Source organism: Homo sapiens, chromosome 7 (assembly GCF_000001405.40).
Source record: "Homo sapiens chromosome 7, GRCh38.p14 Primary Assembly".
NCBI classification, from domain to species: Eukaryota; Metazoa; Chordata; class Mammalia; order Primates; family Hominidae; genus Homo; species Homo sapiens.
The window spans coordinates 50,054,092-50,069,660 of NC_000007.14; the positions used below are offsets into that span (position 1 = coordinate 50,054,092).

At 39.0% G+C, this 15,569-nt stretch overlaps 1 protein-coding gene across 11 annotated transcripts in view, besides 2 other annotated features; it reads right to left on the reverse strand.

The window, feature by feature from the left end:
• The window catches only part of ZPBP (zona pellucida binding protein), a 252,593-nt gene that overhangs the window by 213,438 nt on the left and 23,586 nt on the right, over positions 1-15,569 (reverse strand). For 7 of the 11 annotated variants that reach the window (XR_001744543.2, XM_011515097.2, XM_011515100.3 and 4 more), the window contains one exon: positions 3,898-4,050. The exons of 2 other annotated variants lie outside the window; for them this stretch is intronic. Coding sequence is in view for 8 of the 9 variants with exons in the window: in XM_011515097.2 (XP_011513399.1) it covers positions 3,898-4,050 (153 nt within the window). In the remaining variant the exon portion in view is untranslated. The remainder of the gene's footprint in view (positions 1-3,897; positions 4,051-15,569) is intronic. 2 more of the 11 variants (XM_011515096.3, NM_001159878.2) reach the window with 1 other exon arrangement.
• Positions 7,559-7,759: a silencer, noted in NCBI's record as "peak6516 fragment used in MPRA reporter construct". NCBI's record gives its function as "represses an SCP1 promoter by STARR-seq MPRAs in K562 erythroleukemia cells {active_cell/tissue: K562}" and the evidence as "EXISTENCE:reporter gene assay evidence [ECO:0000049][PMID:32103011]".
• Positions 15,189-15,278: an enhancer, noted in NCBI's record as "active region_25990". NCBI's record gives its function as "activates an Ori minimal core promoter by ATAC-STARR-seq in GM12878 lymphoblastoid cells {active_cell/tissue: GM12878}" and the evidence as "EXISTENCE:reporter gene assay evidence [ECO:0000049][PMID:35858748]".

Sequence of the window (15,569 nt, forward strand, 5' to 3'; positions counted from 1 at the left end):
TGTTGCCCAGGCTGGCGTCGAACTCCTGGCCATAAGTGATCCACCCACCTCGGCCTCCCAAAGTTCTGGGCAATTTTTATTTTCTAGATAGGAAACAATCTCTTAGAAAACAAAACAAAACAAAACAAAAGCAAAACAACTCAGAGAATTAAAATTGATAGCTCTCATTACAAAAAAAAAATTGAAACTTCTGTTAGTATAAACATCTTAAGTGAGAGAAGGTAGAAATTACTTAAAGCATGCATAAGAAAAGACTAGTATCCAGAATAGCAAAATATCTAAAAATTAGTAAGAAAAAGACAAACTATGCGAAAGGAAGATGACAGTGGAATTGAAAAGGCAATCTACTGAATAATAAAAATATGAAAAGATGTTCTAACTCACTAATAATTAAGCAGTGTATATTAAAGCAATGAGTCACCATTTTATACCTAGTGTCTTGCCATATTCAAAACCGATAACAATTCTTGATTTTATTTTTCTAATTTTCTAAAATTTTTAAAGGTTTTATATATATAGAAAATTATAAGTTGATTTTACTTCTTACAATCCAGGTAATGGTGAATATCTTGCTCAACACAGTAAAAAACATGAGTCAAAAAGAAAATACCACTTGTAGTTTATATAAAATTTTTAAGTTTGCAATTATCCTTTACTTAGAATATGAGATTAATAAGCTAAGAACAAAATACAGAATGCAATGCATTTGACATAAAATTAATATCTACATAGCTATATATCTCTCAGTAGCTATTCAGACACACAAACATACACACACACAGAGCTCACACAAATAACAAGATTTGAATAACCCACCAAAGTCCAAAAAATGCATATTAAAACTACAAAATACCATTAATTTATTATATTGGCAACACTTCAAAATACAGCATTAAAGGGGTTTTAGAAACTGAGGTTCTCATCTATTATAGCAAGGTTGCAAACTGCTATACAAAAGAATCAATCAAAATAGCACTATGAATTCCCTGCAGATTTTCCTTTACAGAATTCATCTTTCTGAAAGACTAACAACTTATCTTACAAAATACAGCAATGTTAGTATGGTGGGGGGTATGGTGTATCTGTGTGTATACACAGATCAGTGATGGATGGATGGACAGATATTTAAATGTTTCATACAGTACCATCTGAGGAAGGGAAAATGTGAAACAAACTAAATAATAATTAACTGAAGAACACTCAAATAAAATCTGAAACACCATGTAGCTATTACAAAGATTAAAGGAGCTATGTATAATAAAATAGAATCAATTGCATTTGTTTTAAGCATAAAAAGAGTAGGTCTCCAAAGTCAGTTTATTAATCTGGTCTTCATCCTGCTGGCATTCATATAACAGTGGTGTACATAGTAGGATATCATAAAGCATAAGAATACTAACTCTAGGACCAGAATTCCTAAATTGAAATCTGAGTTCTTCCCTCCCCTACTTAATAGCTATGGTCTTGAGAAAGTCACTTAACCACTCTGTTTCCTTACATTTACGAGACCAAAAATAGCAGTGCCTACATCACAGTTTGTTTTGAAATACATTTAATATAAATAAATCAGAACAATGCTTACACTAAGCAAGCATTATATAAATATGGATTTTGCTGTTGTTGTAATAATTACATGTAAAAACAAGCACTGCCTGGTACCTCATAAGTGCTCAGTAAATATTAGCTATCATTATCATTATTATAAACCAGCACTCATTTTAGGCACTTTTACATTTGTTAGCATATGTGAATATGTACTTATGAGTGATTCTGAAGTACATTTATTATAAGTTAGGTACCTGAAGTAACAAGATGGAGATAACTACTATGTAACAAAAATGAAACATGACTGATTAAAAGGTTTAAACAAATTATTTGCCTAACAAAGTTAATTATCTTACCAAAACATTATGTTTCTCTTTGGCTACATGGGAAAGTATTTTTTGATTAACCAAAATATCATCAAGAAACCACTAATAATTCTGCCAGTTGTTTGGCACCCTTGCTGTCAAAGTAATGGTGTGTAAGTTATCTTATTGACACTGTAACAAATTACCACAAACCTAATGTTCTAAACAACACAAATTTATTACCTTATGGCTCTGGAGATCAGAAATCCAAAATGAGTCTTACTAAGCAAAAATCAAGCTGTATTCATTCTGAAAGCTTTAGGGGGAATCCAATTCTTTGTCATTTCTAGCTGTAGTGGCTGCCTTCATTATTTGGCATGTGGCTTCTTCTTTGATTTTCAAAGAAAATCACTGCAAGTTCTCCTTTTGTCAGCGCATTTCCTTTTTCTGCCTTTGACCCTCTTGCCTTCCTCTTAGAAGGAACCCTGTGATTACACTGGACCCACCTAGATAATTCAGGATAATCTCCTCATCTCAAGAGCCTTAATTTAATCCATCTGCTAAATCCCTTTTGCCATGTAGGGCAACACACTTACATGTTCTGGATATGACTAGATATGGACATGTTTAGGAGCCATTATTCTGTCTGCCACACATGGGTCCCACCAGTGAGATGGAACCTACTAGCAACTTGAGTTCAGGCTGTTCTCCTGGCTACTCCATATTGACAGAGCAGGAGCAGTGTCATCTCGGACAAACACCGCCACTTTAAGTTCCAGCTCCCTTTCTAGCCTCATGCATTTCGAGGAAATCACCTCTCTTCTAATTACAAGCAGCCAGAAAGAGCAGACAGTAAAACACAGATAAGACAGCTGGGGCACAGAGGGAGATGGGGTAAAGTCTCTCAGGTAACTGCCAAACTTCACCTTTACACAATGGGCCCCAGTAAAACAGTAGGCCTTGGCTAGGTGTGGTGGCTCATGCCTGTAATCCCAGCACTTTGGGAGGCCAAGGTGGGCAGATCATGAGGTCAGGAAATCGAGACCATCCTGGCTAACACGGTGAAACCCCATCTCTACCAAAAATACAAAAAATTAGCCAGGCGTGGTGGCACGTGCCTGTAGTCCCAGCTAGTCGGGAAGCTGAGGCAGGAGAATTGCTTGAACCCAGGAGGTGGAGGTTGCAGTGAGCTGAGATCGCACCACTGCACACTCCAGCCTAGGTGACAGAGTGAGACTCCATCTCAAAAAAAAAAAAAAAAAAGTGAGCCTTAATAAGCACATCCCTTTCCTTTCAGTTGCACTAAGATAGAGAAGCTAAAAGCAGACTTGGGGGATATGCCTGCAGCTGCAAAAAGATGTATGAGAACAGACACACAACTCTCCCTCCCAGATAAGCACAACAAAGAGACACAGAAGCAGTCCAAGCCTCTGATAAATTCTCCCACCCTGAATCCTCAAAAACTCTTAGTCTGTAAGAGTGTGTGCCTCTGACCTAACTCGGCCAGAAGGCGTCTCTCAGGTTTCTTTTCTCTAAAATAAATCTGTCTTGACTGGCAAGCCACCTTTTCATGTTTCTTTCCTCTTTCTGTAATTCTTACACATATCAACTGAGCTCTGCCAATTGTAAGCCTCAAAAGGTCAATCCACCAGAAAAGGAATTTATAGTGGTGTTTCACGCTCCTGTTTTGGGGGATGGCAGTGTACCAGAAATCATCATACTCAAATTTAAAATACTTAGAATTTAATATAGTACAAGCCATAATATCATCATAATAATTTGAAAACATTTATACATCCCTGGCCCTAAAATTTATCTGTGTGTACATGTCAACATTCCCCTGAAGAAAAAAAGACTACGATCTGTTAACCATTCTGTGCCCTCACCACTAACCCTTTACAAAGTACTTACATAGGGAGGCAGTAATTCTTTTTTAATTAAATGAGACTAAAAATAACAAAGTCCCTTTAAGACAAGCCTACTTAAACATATTTAAATGTTTAAAATCATTAAGAAAGGTTAAAACACAACTAACTTTACTTCTTACCATATATAGCATATTTTAGTTGAAGACGTTTAACAATTTCTTCCACAGTAGGTTTATATTCGAGGAAACATGTATAAATTCCACTCATACTCTCCTCAAAATTTTGGAATACAAGGCTTCCTGTGGATGTTATTTGTGCAGTGCGGTTTTCTACTAAAGGAATAAGATACAGTTACGAGTTGCTTAAATTACATGAGACAAGTACCAAAACATTTTCTCAGCAAGGTAAAACCATCATAATTTACCAACACAGTCAATGAAAGGAGTGGGGGGCATAGCTAGGACATTACATCTGGTATCTGCTAACAGTGGATGCCAGGATAACCTTCTTACTGCCAGATGTTCACTAATCAGAGTTCATCAATTGCATTGCTGCCTAAGTAGAAAGAGACTAACAAGGATACATACAGAATATGCTCCTAATCTGCTCCTTGCATTGAACTGGGCACTATCAGAAATGCAGTATACATATATACAAATACATACACATACATATATACATATACTTTAACGTAATTATATTTATATTTAATGATAAATTATGCCCTCAGTAAGCTTACAAACTGCATATGAAACAGATAAATAATATACCCAGAATAAAGGCTATCAGAATATAATCACTAACAAGAGATTTCTTATCACTACACATGATGAAAAGCAAAATTTGGCTTATAAATTTGAGGTTTGCAGAAGAAAAAAAAATATTGGATATGAGATCACCTGACTTGCCCAACATCACATAATCACACAGTTGCAGTGCTGGGGGTTAGAATGGGATGTAAGCTCCCTTTTCATTTCAACATACTTCATTATTTAAGTGTCAAGCAGGGAGAAAGCTATGTTGTGAAATGGAAAGTAAATCTGCCTTTAGAGGCATTGACACTTGGGGTTTGAGACCTACCTTTCCCTCTCACAAACTGTAACCATGAGTAACCAATTAATCTTTCTGAGATCCAGTTCCCTCATTTGTACAATGAAAAATCATAATATATGATAGCCTATCTCACAGGATTTCTCTGTATAACAAATACAATGAATGCTAAAGTACTTGGAAAAGCTATAAATCTGTTATTCTGAAAGTTCATAACCACAGTTTTTAATTAGAAAAATTCTTAGGTATTAAAATTTGCTTAGTCTGATATTCCATTCATTAGAACTGAAAGTACTACATCAGGAAATAACTGTCTACCTTTTTCTATTTTAGGTAAATGATTTATTGCTTATAAATTTTAAGTTGATATATTTTTCCAAGACAAATGATGAGTGTTCATAGGGATGAAATTTTCATTATTTATTTGTTCAGTAAATATTTACTGAGTGTCTAGTACATGCAAGCCCTGCTTCAGGTATTGAAAGAGAAATGAACAGATGAATATACCCACCCTCAAATAATTTACATAGAGCATTATGCCTTGAGAACTTCCATTTCTATATCCTGGATGAAGCTGAAAAATGTGATATGAATTTAGAATACATGTCTATTGTAATGCCTATTTCTTCATGATTATGTTTTAATGAAATATTACATATTTATCCTAACATGCCAAGTCTTTTATAAACGAAGTTAACAGTTTGCAAGAGTTCACTATGTATTTCAGCAGAAACACCTCGTAGAGATGTAATAAAGGGTTCTCATGAAGTTTAAAGAAATTATAGAATATTACATCATCAATGAGATTACATATTCCTTGGCAATCATTTGAAATGAATGTTTCCCACACTAGAGAAAGCAATTAATAAGTGTATCAAAATATATACCTAAATGCCTACTACAACACAAAACATTATGACAGCCAGAAAATGTAGTAGTATACAATCTGTAATAAAATGCCCCCTGACTGCCTTCTTATTTAAAAAATGTTTAAGTAGATCTAAAAAGACAAGGGGGCTCAGAGCCAAGATAGCCAGCCAGCAAGAGCATCTCCCACCAAGAGATAAGACCATCAAGAAGACTAGCACACTCTGAGCAGATCTTCAGAAGGAAGGCATTGAGAGTAGTCGGAGGGAGGACACAGATCCTGGACTGAAGGAGCAAGAAGCTAGGGAACCGTCACAGGGTACACAAGCATCAGGACTTATTCCTTGCCCTGAGTGGCTTCTGGGGAAGGGATAAGTGAAGTAGACATGGAGCGGCCCACTCTCACTATGGAACTCTGGAATCCTAGCTACAGGAGAACCCATGGACATTTGGGCTGGCAAGGGAGAGATTCTTGGAGTGTTGGCGGGGACAAGACTCCACTGCATGGAACCCAGAGCATTTGCCATGGGACCTGCTGCAGTGGAGCATGGCCAGGGACACCATCCCCCAAGGCTTGTCAAAATCAGAGCTGAACTGAACAAAATGGTGACACAAAAAAACATACAAAAGATCAACAAAACTAAAGGCTGGTTTTCTGAAAGAACACATAAGGCTGGTAGACTGCTAGCTGGACTAATAGAGCAAAAAAAAGAGAGGATCCAAATAAACACCATCAGAAATGACAAAGGGGACATTACCACTGACCCTAGAGACATATAAAAAACCATCAGAGACTATTACAAATATGTCCATGCCCATTAACTAGAAAACCTAGAGAAATGGATACATTCCGAGAAACATACACCCTCTCCCATGATTGAACCAGGAAGAAATTGAAACCCTGAACAGACCAGAGTAAGTTCTGACACTGAAACCATAATCAAAAACCTACCAACAACAAAAAGCCCTGGACTAGACAGATTCACAGCCAAATTCTACCTGACATATAAAGAAGGGCTGGTACCAATCCTAGCTAAACTATCCCAAAAAATTGAGGAGGATCGACTCTTTCCTAGCTCATTCTATGAGGCCAGTATCATTCTGATATGAAAATCTGGTGGACACAAAATGAAAAAAGAAATTTTAGGACAATAACCCTGATGAACATAGATGTAAAAATCCTCAACAAAATACTAGCATAGCAAATCCAGAAGCACATCAAAAAGCTAATTCATCACAATCAAGTAGGGTTTATCCCTGGGATGCAAGGTTGGTTCAACATACGCAAATCAATAAATTTGATTCATCACAGAAACAAAACTAAAAACAGAAATCACACGATCATCTCAACAGATGCAGAAAAGCCATTCAATGAAATTCAACCTCCCTTTATGTTAAAAACCCTCAATAAACTGGGCATCAAAGGAACATACCTCAACATAATAATAGCCATGTGTGACAAACCCACAGCCAACATCATACTAAACAGGCAAAAGCTAGAGGCATTTCCCCTTGAGAACCAGAACAAGACAAGAATGCGCACCCTCACCGCTCCTATTAACATAGTTCTGGAAGTTCAAACCAGGGCATCAGGCAAGAGAAAGAAATAAAAGTCATCCAAACAGGAAAAGAGGACTTCAAATTATCTGCCTTCACAGACTATTTGATTCTATACCTAGAAAACCCCATCATGGCCTGGTGTGGTGGCTCACATCCATAATCCCAGCATGTTGGGAGGTCGAGGCAGGCAGATCATTTGAGGCCATGAGTTCAAGGCTAGCCTAGCCAACATAGTGAAACCTCATCTCTACTAAAAATACAAAAATTAGCCAGGCATAGTGGTGCATGCCTGTAATCCCAGCTAATAAAGGGTTGATTTTAATGATTTTAATGATTTCTCCTGGCTATTCCATATTGACAGAGCAGGAGCACCATCATCTTGAACAAACACTGCCACTTTAAGTTCCAGCTCTCTTTCTAGCCTGATGCATTTCAATGAAATCACTTCTCTTCTAATTACAAGCGGCCAGAAAGAGCTGACAGTAACACACAGATAAGACAGGAAGCTGAGGCATGAGAATCGCTCGAACCTGAGAGGCAGAGGTTGCAGTGAGCAGAGATCACACCACTGCACTCCAGCCTGGGCGACAGAGTGAGATTCCATCTCAAAAAAGCGAAGCAAACTAACAAACAAAAAAACACTGTTTCTGTTCAAAGGCTTCTAGATCTGATAAACAACTTCAGCAAACTTCCAAGATACAAAATCAATGTATAAAAATCAGTGGCATTTCTATTCACCAATAATATCCAAACTGAGAGCCAAATCAAGAACACAATCCCATTCACAATGGCCACAAAAAGAATAAAATACCTAGGAATACAGTTAACAAGGGAGGTGAACGATCTCTACTATGAGAATTACAAAGTACTGCTTAAAGAAATCACAGATGACACAAACAAATGGAAAAACATTCCATGCTCATGGGTAGAAAGAATCAATATTGTTAAAATAACCATACTACCCAAAACAACTTACAGATTCAATGCTTTTCCTATCAAATTACCAGTGAAATTTTTCATAGATTAGAAAAAACCTACTGTAAAACTCATATGGAACCAAACAAGAGCTGGAACAGCCAAAGTAATCCTAAGTAAAAAGAGCAAAGCCAGAGGTAACACACTACCTGACTTCAAACTACACTACAGGGCTATAGTAACTAAAAGAGCATAGCACTGGTATAAAAACAGACACATAGACTAATGGAACAGAATAGAGACCCCACAAATAAAGCCACACACCTACAATCATCTGATCTTCAACAAAAATGACAAAAACAAGCAATGGAGAAATAAGTCCCTATTCAATAAACGGTTCTGGAATAACTGCCTAGCCACGTGCACAAGATTGAAACTGGCGCCCTTCCTTCTACCATATATAAAAAATCAATGCAAGATGACTTAAAGACTCCTGGAGAAAGGGCAAAGCAAGATGGCTGAATAGAAGGCTCTACTGATCATTCTTCCTGCAAGGACACCAAGTTAACAACTATCCATTAAAAAAATACCTTCTCTTAATAACAAAAATCAGATGAGCACTCATAGTGCCTGGTTTTAACTTCATATTGTAGCTGGATTGATAAGGAATCAGAGAGACTGATGGGGTTCAGGAGGATATTTATTATTTAGGTGCACCAGCCCAGTCGGATTAATATCCAAAGTCCCAAACAAAGAGTCGTTACCTTTTAACATTTTGTGGGGTGGGGGGAGATCAATGCAGGGGGAAGCATACTACAGAAGAGAGAAACAAAGACAGTTATTCAATTAATTGAGACATGCATTACATCATTTTTTACTTTTCAAGAAATAACATGTTTTACGACTGAGTTTATCTGTCTGGTGACCTTGCAGCTGCACAGCTAGAGACACAGGGTCTTCACAATGCCTGGGAAGGGAGGAGAGATAAGGCTCACTAGCCACAGAAAAACAGGCAGTTAATTTTTGAAGGACTCCAGTTCTTTCTTTTTCTCAGGGGGAATTGGGTTTTCTTATATACAACTGAGTTTCTGCTTATACATTTTTTAATTTAATTCCTGTTCCATTCCCCCATTTGGTGCTTTTTATCACAAAGATGTTCATAGAAAGCACCACTATTTGCCATCTCTTTGCGGAGCTGAGCTTTTTCTTCTACTGGCAGCAGCTGATATTTGGTTAATGCCATCAACTGCACAGTAGTTTGTCAGAATATACAAACTCTATAGTTGACTGAATACTCCTAATAAACAGAGGTAAAAGGCAAGGGAGGATGAGGCAGATGCCAAGAATAAGCAAGAACCTACCAGTGAGGGTTTTGAATCCTTTAAAGCTTGAGAACCATTTTTTTTTTTAAACAAAGAATCCGGGGACCACCTGGACTAAGTCTGAACTGGAACATAGGCCAACTTTCACATTCTAGCTGTGATTTCCATGATAGCTCGGCCATTATCATCAATTTCTAGGCAACAGTTGGTTAAATTAAATTTTTCACATACTCTTCCTTCTTAGGCTAAGAGGTAATCTAAAGCTAATCTATTTTGATATACAGCATTTTTTATTTGTGTTGCTTGTATTGCCAATAAATCTAGTGCCCTTGATGTTTCATTGGTTATAATTTCAAGGACTGCCTGCAACCTTATGATGCAGTTGAACACATAGATTGGGGTGTGGTACCCCCATGACCCATCTTGCACCCACATAGCTGGCCTATAATATTTAATGATTTTTTCAGGAGGCCATTCATTATCTTTCCAGTCTCTTATGTATCGGGGGACCTGCCCCGATAATTACGTATGTTCTTTTCTATTTTTCCTAAGTGTCAGCCAGCTTGAGAAATAAAGGAACAGAGTACAAAAGAGAGAAATTTTAAAGCTGGGCATCCGGGGGAGACATCACACGTTGGTAGGATCCGTGATGCCCCACAAGCCACAAAAACCAGCAAGTTTTTATTAGGGATTTTCAAAAGGGGAGGGAGTGTGTGAATAGGTGTGGGTGACAGACATCAAGTACTTAACACAGTAATAGAATATCACAAGGCAAGTGGAGGCAGGGGGAGATCACAGGACCACAGGACCGAGGTGAAATCAAAATTGCTAATGAAGTTTCAGGCACCATTGTCATTGATAACATCTTATCAGGAAGCAGGGTTTTGAGATCAACCGGTCTGACCAAAATTTCTTAGGCAGGAATTTCCTCTTCCTAATAAGCCTGGGAGCACTATGGGAGACTGGAGTTTATTTCATCTCTGTAGCCTCGACCATAAGAGACAGCTACGCCCAGGGGGCCAGTTCAGAGACCTACCCGCAGGCACACATTCTCTTTCTCAGGGATGTTCCATGCTGAGAAAAAGAATTAGAATTCAGTGATATTTCTCCCATTTGCTTTTGAAAGAAGAGAAATATGGCTCTGTTCCGCCCAGCTCGCCAGCGGTCAGAGTTTAAGGTTATCTCTCTTATTCCCTGAACAATTGCTGTTATCCTGTTCTTTTTTCAAGGTGCCCACATTTCATATTGCTCAAACACACATGCTGTACAATTTGTGCAGTTAATGCAATTATTACAGGGTCCTGAGGTGACATACATCCTCCTCGGCTGACAGGATTAAGAGATTAAAGTAAAGACAGGCATAGGAAATCACAAGGGTATTGATTGGGAAAGTGATAAGTATCCATGAAATCTTTACAATTTTATGTTTAGAGATTGCAGTAAAGACAGGAATAAGAAATTATAAAAGTATTAATTTGGGGAACTAATAAATGTCCATAAAATCTTCACAATCCACGTTCTTCTGCCATGGCTTCAGCCGGTCCCTCCGTTTGTAGTCCCTGACTTCCCACAACACTTATGTCCACATTTCTTTGATATTTGTGTCTATTTTTGTGAGTATGCTCCTATTTTTTAATTTTTATCATAAACTGGATATCTTAAGAGTTCCTCTTGCTTTAGAGGAATTAGAAAGAGGAAGGCTTGATTGTTTTTAACACACATGCCCTCATCCATTTAGCCAGCAGTTGCCAATATGCCCATGTTCAACAGATCTAATACAGGCCAGAGGGTGCCTTCCAAGCATTTGGAGCCTCTAGTTGATCTCAAGAGTGGCTTAGAGTAGAGAATCAAGAGAAAGGGTTTGGATCTGGTAAGTAGGAGTCATTCTGGGCGTTTCTCCGTAGAGTTTTGTTATTAGTCTTATTATAATATTGTTGCCTTGGGCAGGTTGTTTTTCCTACTGCTTCTGTGAAAGCCTTTTCTTATCAGGCGATACAGTACTTTTCAATTATGGAGGTTTTTAACAACTAAACACTGGCTGAGGCTGTTGGTTCACTGACTGGGTTAGGTGAAGTGAAGTGATCTTGTGGCATTAATTTTTTTGCCTCCCATGGCCACTGGTCTCCCATTTTTGTTTCTCCACATACATAGTATGAGGAAATTCTTAAGCTGCCAGCTATGTTTTCAGCTAGTTGAGCAAATATCGTTTTGGTTGATGGGAGAAGCTCAGGCACTGACTGATTAAAATGCTTTTAGAATGACTTATGGACCTGGAATTGCAGGGTTGGATGCATTTGAGTCCTTCTAGTCTTTTTGACAATTAGTAGTGGAACTCCAAGGCCTGTTCCTTTTAACTTGTAACAGTGCTGTCTGTCCTGTAGACCAAAAAGGTAGCTCTGGCTTTAAGACAGTAAAATTTAAAGAACTGCATGTCCTTGTCTTACAATTTCATTTGGTTGACATACTACTTAGTAGAGCAGTCTTTCCTGAATATAAGTGTTGGAGCTGTGTTAGCGTATTCCACTGAATGTTACAGTCTGGGCATCCAATTTGTGGTTTTCTGTACAGATGTTTAGGGCTGCTGCTGCTTAAGCCTCTCTTGTGTTAAACCATTGCAGACTGCTTCTGATTGTTTTAGGATTATGAACATATGCAGCATGGCAGGCATCAAAGTACAAGGAAATAGGCCTTTTATAGGAGAGAGGGTCTTCTTTGGTTTGAGCTATAAGCTCTCTTTCTTTTTTTTTTTTCTCTGATTTAATATGTGTTTTAAACCAGAATTTATAGGTTAAGAGCTTAGGGTCATAACATACATATAGCTGATTATTTCCTGGGTCACAGACTGAATAGGTGGTCTGGTTGTATGTGCAGGTTCCTAACCTGGTTCCTGTATATTTATAGTAGGTATGGTAGAGTTGTAACTATGGTATTCCTTACCCAGGTAGTGTCTACACAGTGTGGGCATTTTTCTAGAGATTTCTTCCCTTTTAGTATAGGCAGAAATGGTAAAAACATTAGCGTAGGTAATAGAACTATGCTTACACTACACATAGGCATGGCAAACATTCCTCTGGGCATAGACATTTGCAGCATTTGCAGTAATAACATAACAACAGAACAATCAGTACTGATAGAATTATAACTAGGCTTATACATTGTATTCACATTTACTTATCCAGAGATGGTCCTCTTAGCTTCAGCTGTGCATAGACTAGTCAGCTTTCGGGATGTGATTAGAGCAGAGCTTGCAGGATCCTCAAGCTTCAGCCATGCATAGACTGACCAGCCTCCAGTGTGGTCAGAGCAGGGCAGTTGTCCTTACCAGTGGCTGGGTTTCACTGTAGGACTATTCGGGTCGGGCGATCTGGGTCTTGTTGGCTAATCCACTGGTCGTCGTCGGGAGTCACTACTGCCGCTGATTTTAGCCAGCTATGGTGAATCCAAGGTGTGACACCTGCAACTTTAACAGCAGTGGGAGTAGACATGATCACAATATGGGGCCTATCTTATATGGGTCCTAGAGTGGTTAGACCCTATTTTTTAACCTAAACAAAGTCCTCAGGTTTGAAAGGGTGTACTGGGTCTGTTAGACTTACACGCATTTTTTTTCATACCTAACCATGCATCTTTTGCATGGCCATACTTAAAGCCTGCATTTGCCTTTACGTTTGCCTTTCCCTTTTTTTTAGCCTTTAGTGTTCTTGCTTTTTGGTGCCCCTTGCAGCACATCACAACCACCTCTTTGGGGGCCCATACAGCATTTAAGAGCTGTAGAATTTCTTCCTTGTACTTTATTTTTTTACTTCCAGCAGTTAAAATCTTTTTTTTTCCTTCGTAAATAGCCTCATGAACATGCAAAGCAGCAGAAGCATATTTGGAATCTGTGTAAATATTTGTCCTTTGGTCTTTTGCTAGCCAAAGAGTTCTTGTCAGAGATATTAGCTCTGCTTTCTAAGCAGAAGTTTCTATAGGCAAAGACTGCACTACTGAGTCCAAAGTCACCACTGTATACCTAGCTCAGCAGACTCCCTTTAATATGAAACTGCTTCTATCAGTAAAATATTCAATGTCTGGGTCCTTGAGGAGCTGATCTGTCAAATCTCTTCGGCTTGAGAACATTTCATCTACCATGTCCACCCAGCAATGAAAAGGGCCTCCTGTCACTGACTCGATGAGGAGCAACATAGCCGGGTTTAGAGTATTCACAGTCTCTAAAGTCAGTTTATTAGCTTCCTGCACCAGTAGGGCAGTGGCAGCTAGTGTTTTAAAATAAGGAAGCCATCCAAGTGCCACAGAATCTAATTGCCTGGATAAGTATGTCACTGGGTGATGCCATGACTTTATGACTTGAGTTAGAGTTAGAACTGGTGTGGTCAGAGCAGGGCAGTTGTCCTTCTAAGGACTTCTAATTTAGTAGTTGTCCTTCTAAGTTCTAACTTAGAGTTAGAACCTCTATGGCCTCCCTTTCACTTGTGGACATACAAGAAGAAAAGCTTAGTTAGTTAGATCTGGTAGTCCTAAAGCTGGAGCCTGAGTCAAGGCTTCTTTGATTTTTTTTTAAAGCCTTCTCCTGGTTGGCCTCTTAGAGGAGAGACTCCTTTTTTTCTCCTCTTTGTGGCTTTGTATAATGGCTTAGCCATGAACAAGACATTTGGCATCTAAATGTGGCAGAACCTTGCTGCCCTTAGGGACTCTCTTATTGGACGCCAGGTGGTTGGAGTAGGAAGTGCACAAACAGCCTGCTTTTGTTCACTCCAAGGCATCGTTCTTCTTGGCTTATATGAAAGCCCAACTACTGGACACTTTTAAAGCACATCTGAGCTTTCTCCTGACACTTTATAGCCTGTCTTTCACAGCAGGTGCAGGGGGTCTTGGGTTTTTCTGGGTGCAGTAGCCCTTGGCCAGTGTTTTTTTTTTTTTTCATACTATGGCCCTGACATTTATCCTTCTAGTGTGCTTTTCTTTTACATCAAGCACATTAATCTTTCTCTAGCCTCAGCCGGCTTTCAAACTCCTGTCCAGACTAGCTTTTTCCACGACTGCGTTCACACCTGCGTTCATGCCTCCTTGCAAAGCCAGCTTCTCTTTCCGTAAGGGTTGCTGCTAGTAAATTAGCCTTTTTAAAGCCTCCGATCAGCCTTCTGATCTCGGTTAATTTACATCTTGGTAGCCACTTTAATAAGCTGAGTAGCATTCACACCTATGGAGCTTCTAACTTCTGCAATTTATGCCTGGTATCTCCTTGGTCCTGCCTTACAAACACCATATTCACAATGTGCTGATTTTCAGCAGCCTCAGAGTTAAACGGAGTATACAACCGAAATGCCTCACAGTCTTTTATAAAATTGGCTGGTGCTTTTATCTGCACCCTGGAGCACCTCTGAGATTTTTATATTGGTTGCCTTTCTTTTACCATCCTTTAGCCTTTGCAGAACTGCTTCTCAGCACCTTTGTAGGTGCTAAAGCTCGACTGCATCATCTGGCTCTTAGCAGGGGTCCTCTTGTCCTCTTAAGAGGCATAAGCATAACTTGGGCACGGCCAGATCTGAGACGGCCTGCCTGACTTTTTGAGCCTTTCACTTTAATTTCCCTGAGCCCTGATTTCTCCTTCTCATGTGAGATTGACAGCCTGTATTCCTTTTAACTTAACTCCTTAGAGGCAGTTAGCCTGGTAAATGGGTAGATTGGAATGTAGGGAGGAGGGGTCTCTATTCCCTACTGTGGTTCTTGCAAAACTGGTTTTTCTGCCTTTCCAGAGACTTTTTTTTTGTCTCAGCTTCTGGGGCAGCTGATTTTTACTTTCACTATTGGCTTGGCGGTGCTACAAGCCTCTGTGACTTTCCCTTTAACTCTGTAGCTGCCAGCACAGCTAGTTTCTCTTGGCGTGAGCTGCAAGCATTTTACAATAAACTGCTAGGCAGGGCTGCATTCATTTAGTCATGAGTCAATACAAAGACTAGGTCTGAATGCCTTGGATGTCCTCCAACCCTAGTCACCACCTTAAAACACACGACCAATTTCTCTATAGTGCCTTCGGCCAGCCATCTAACACAAAGAGGGCTACTCTAATTCACAGTATGTCCTCAACTTTTGAACATCCAGTTTTATCCCATAATCACCACTAAATCTTTTTTTTT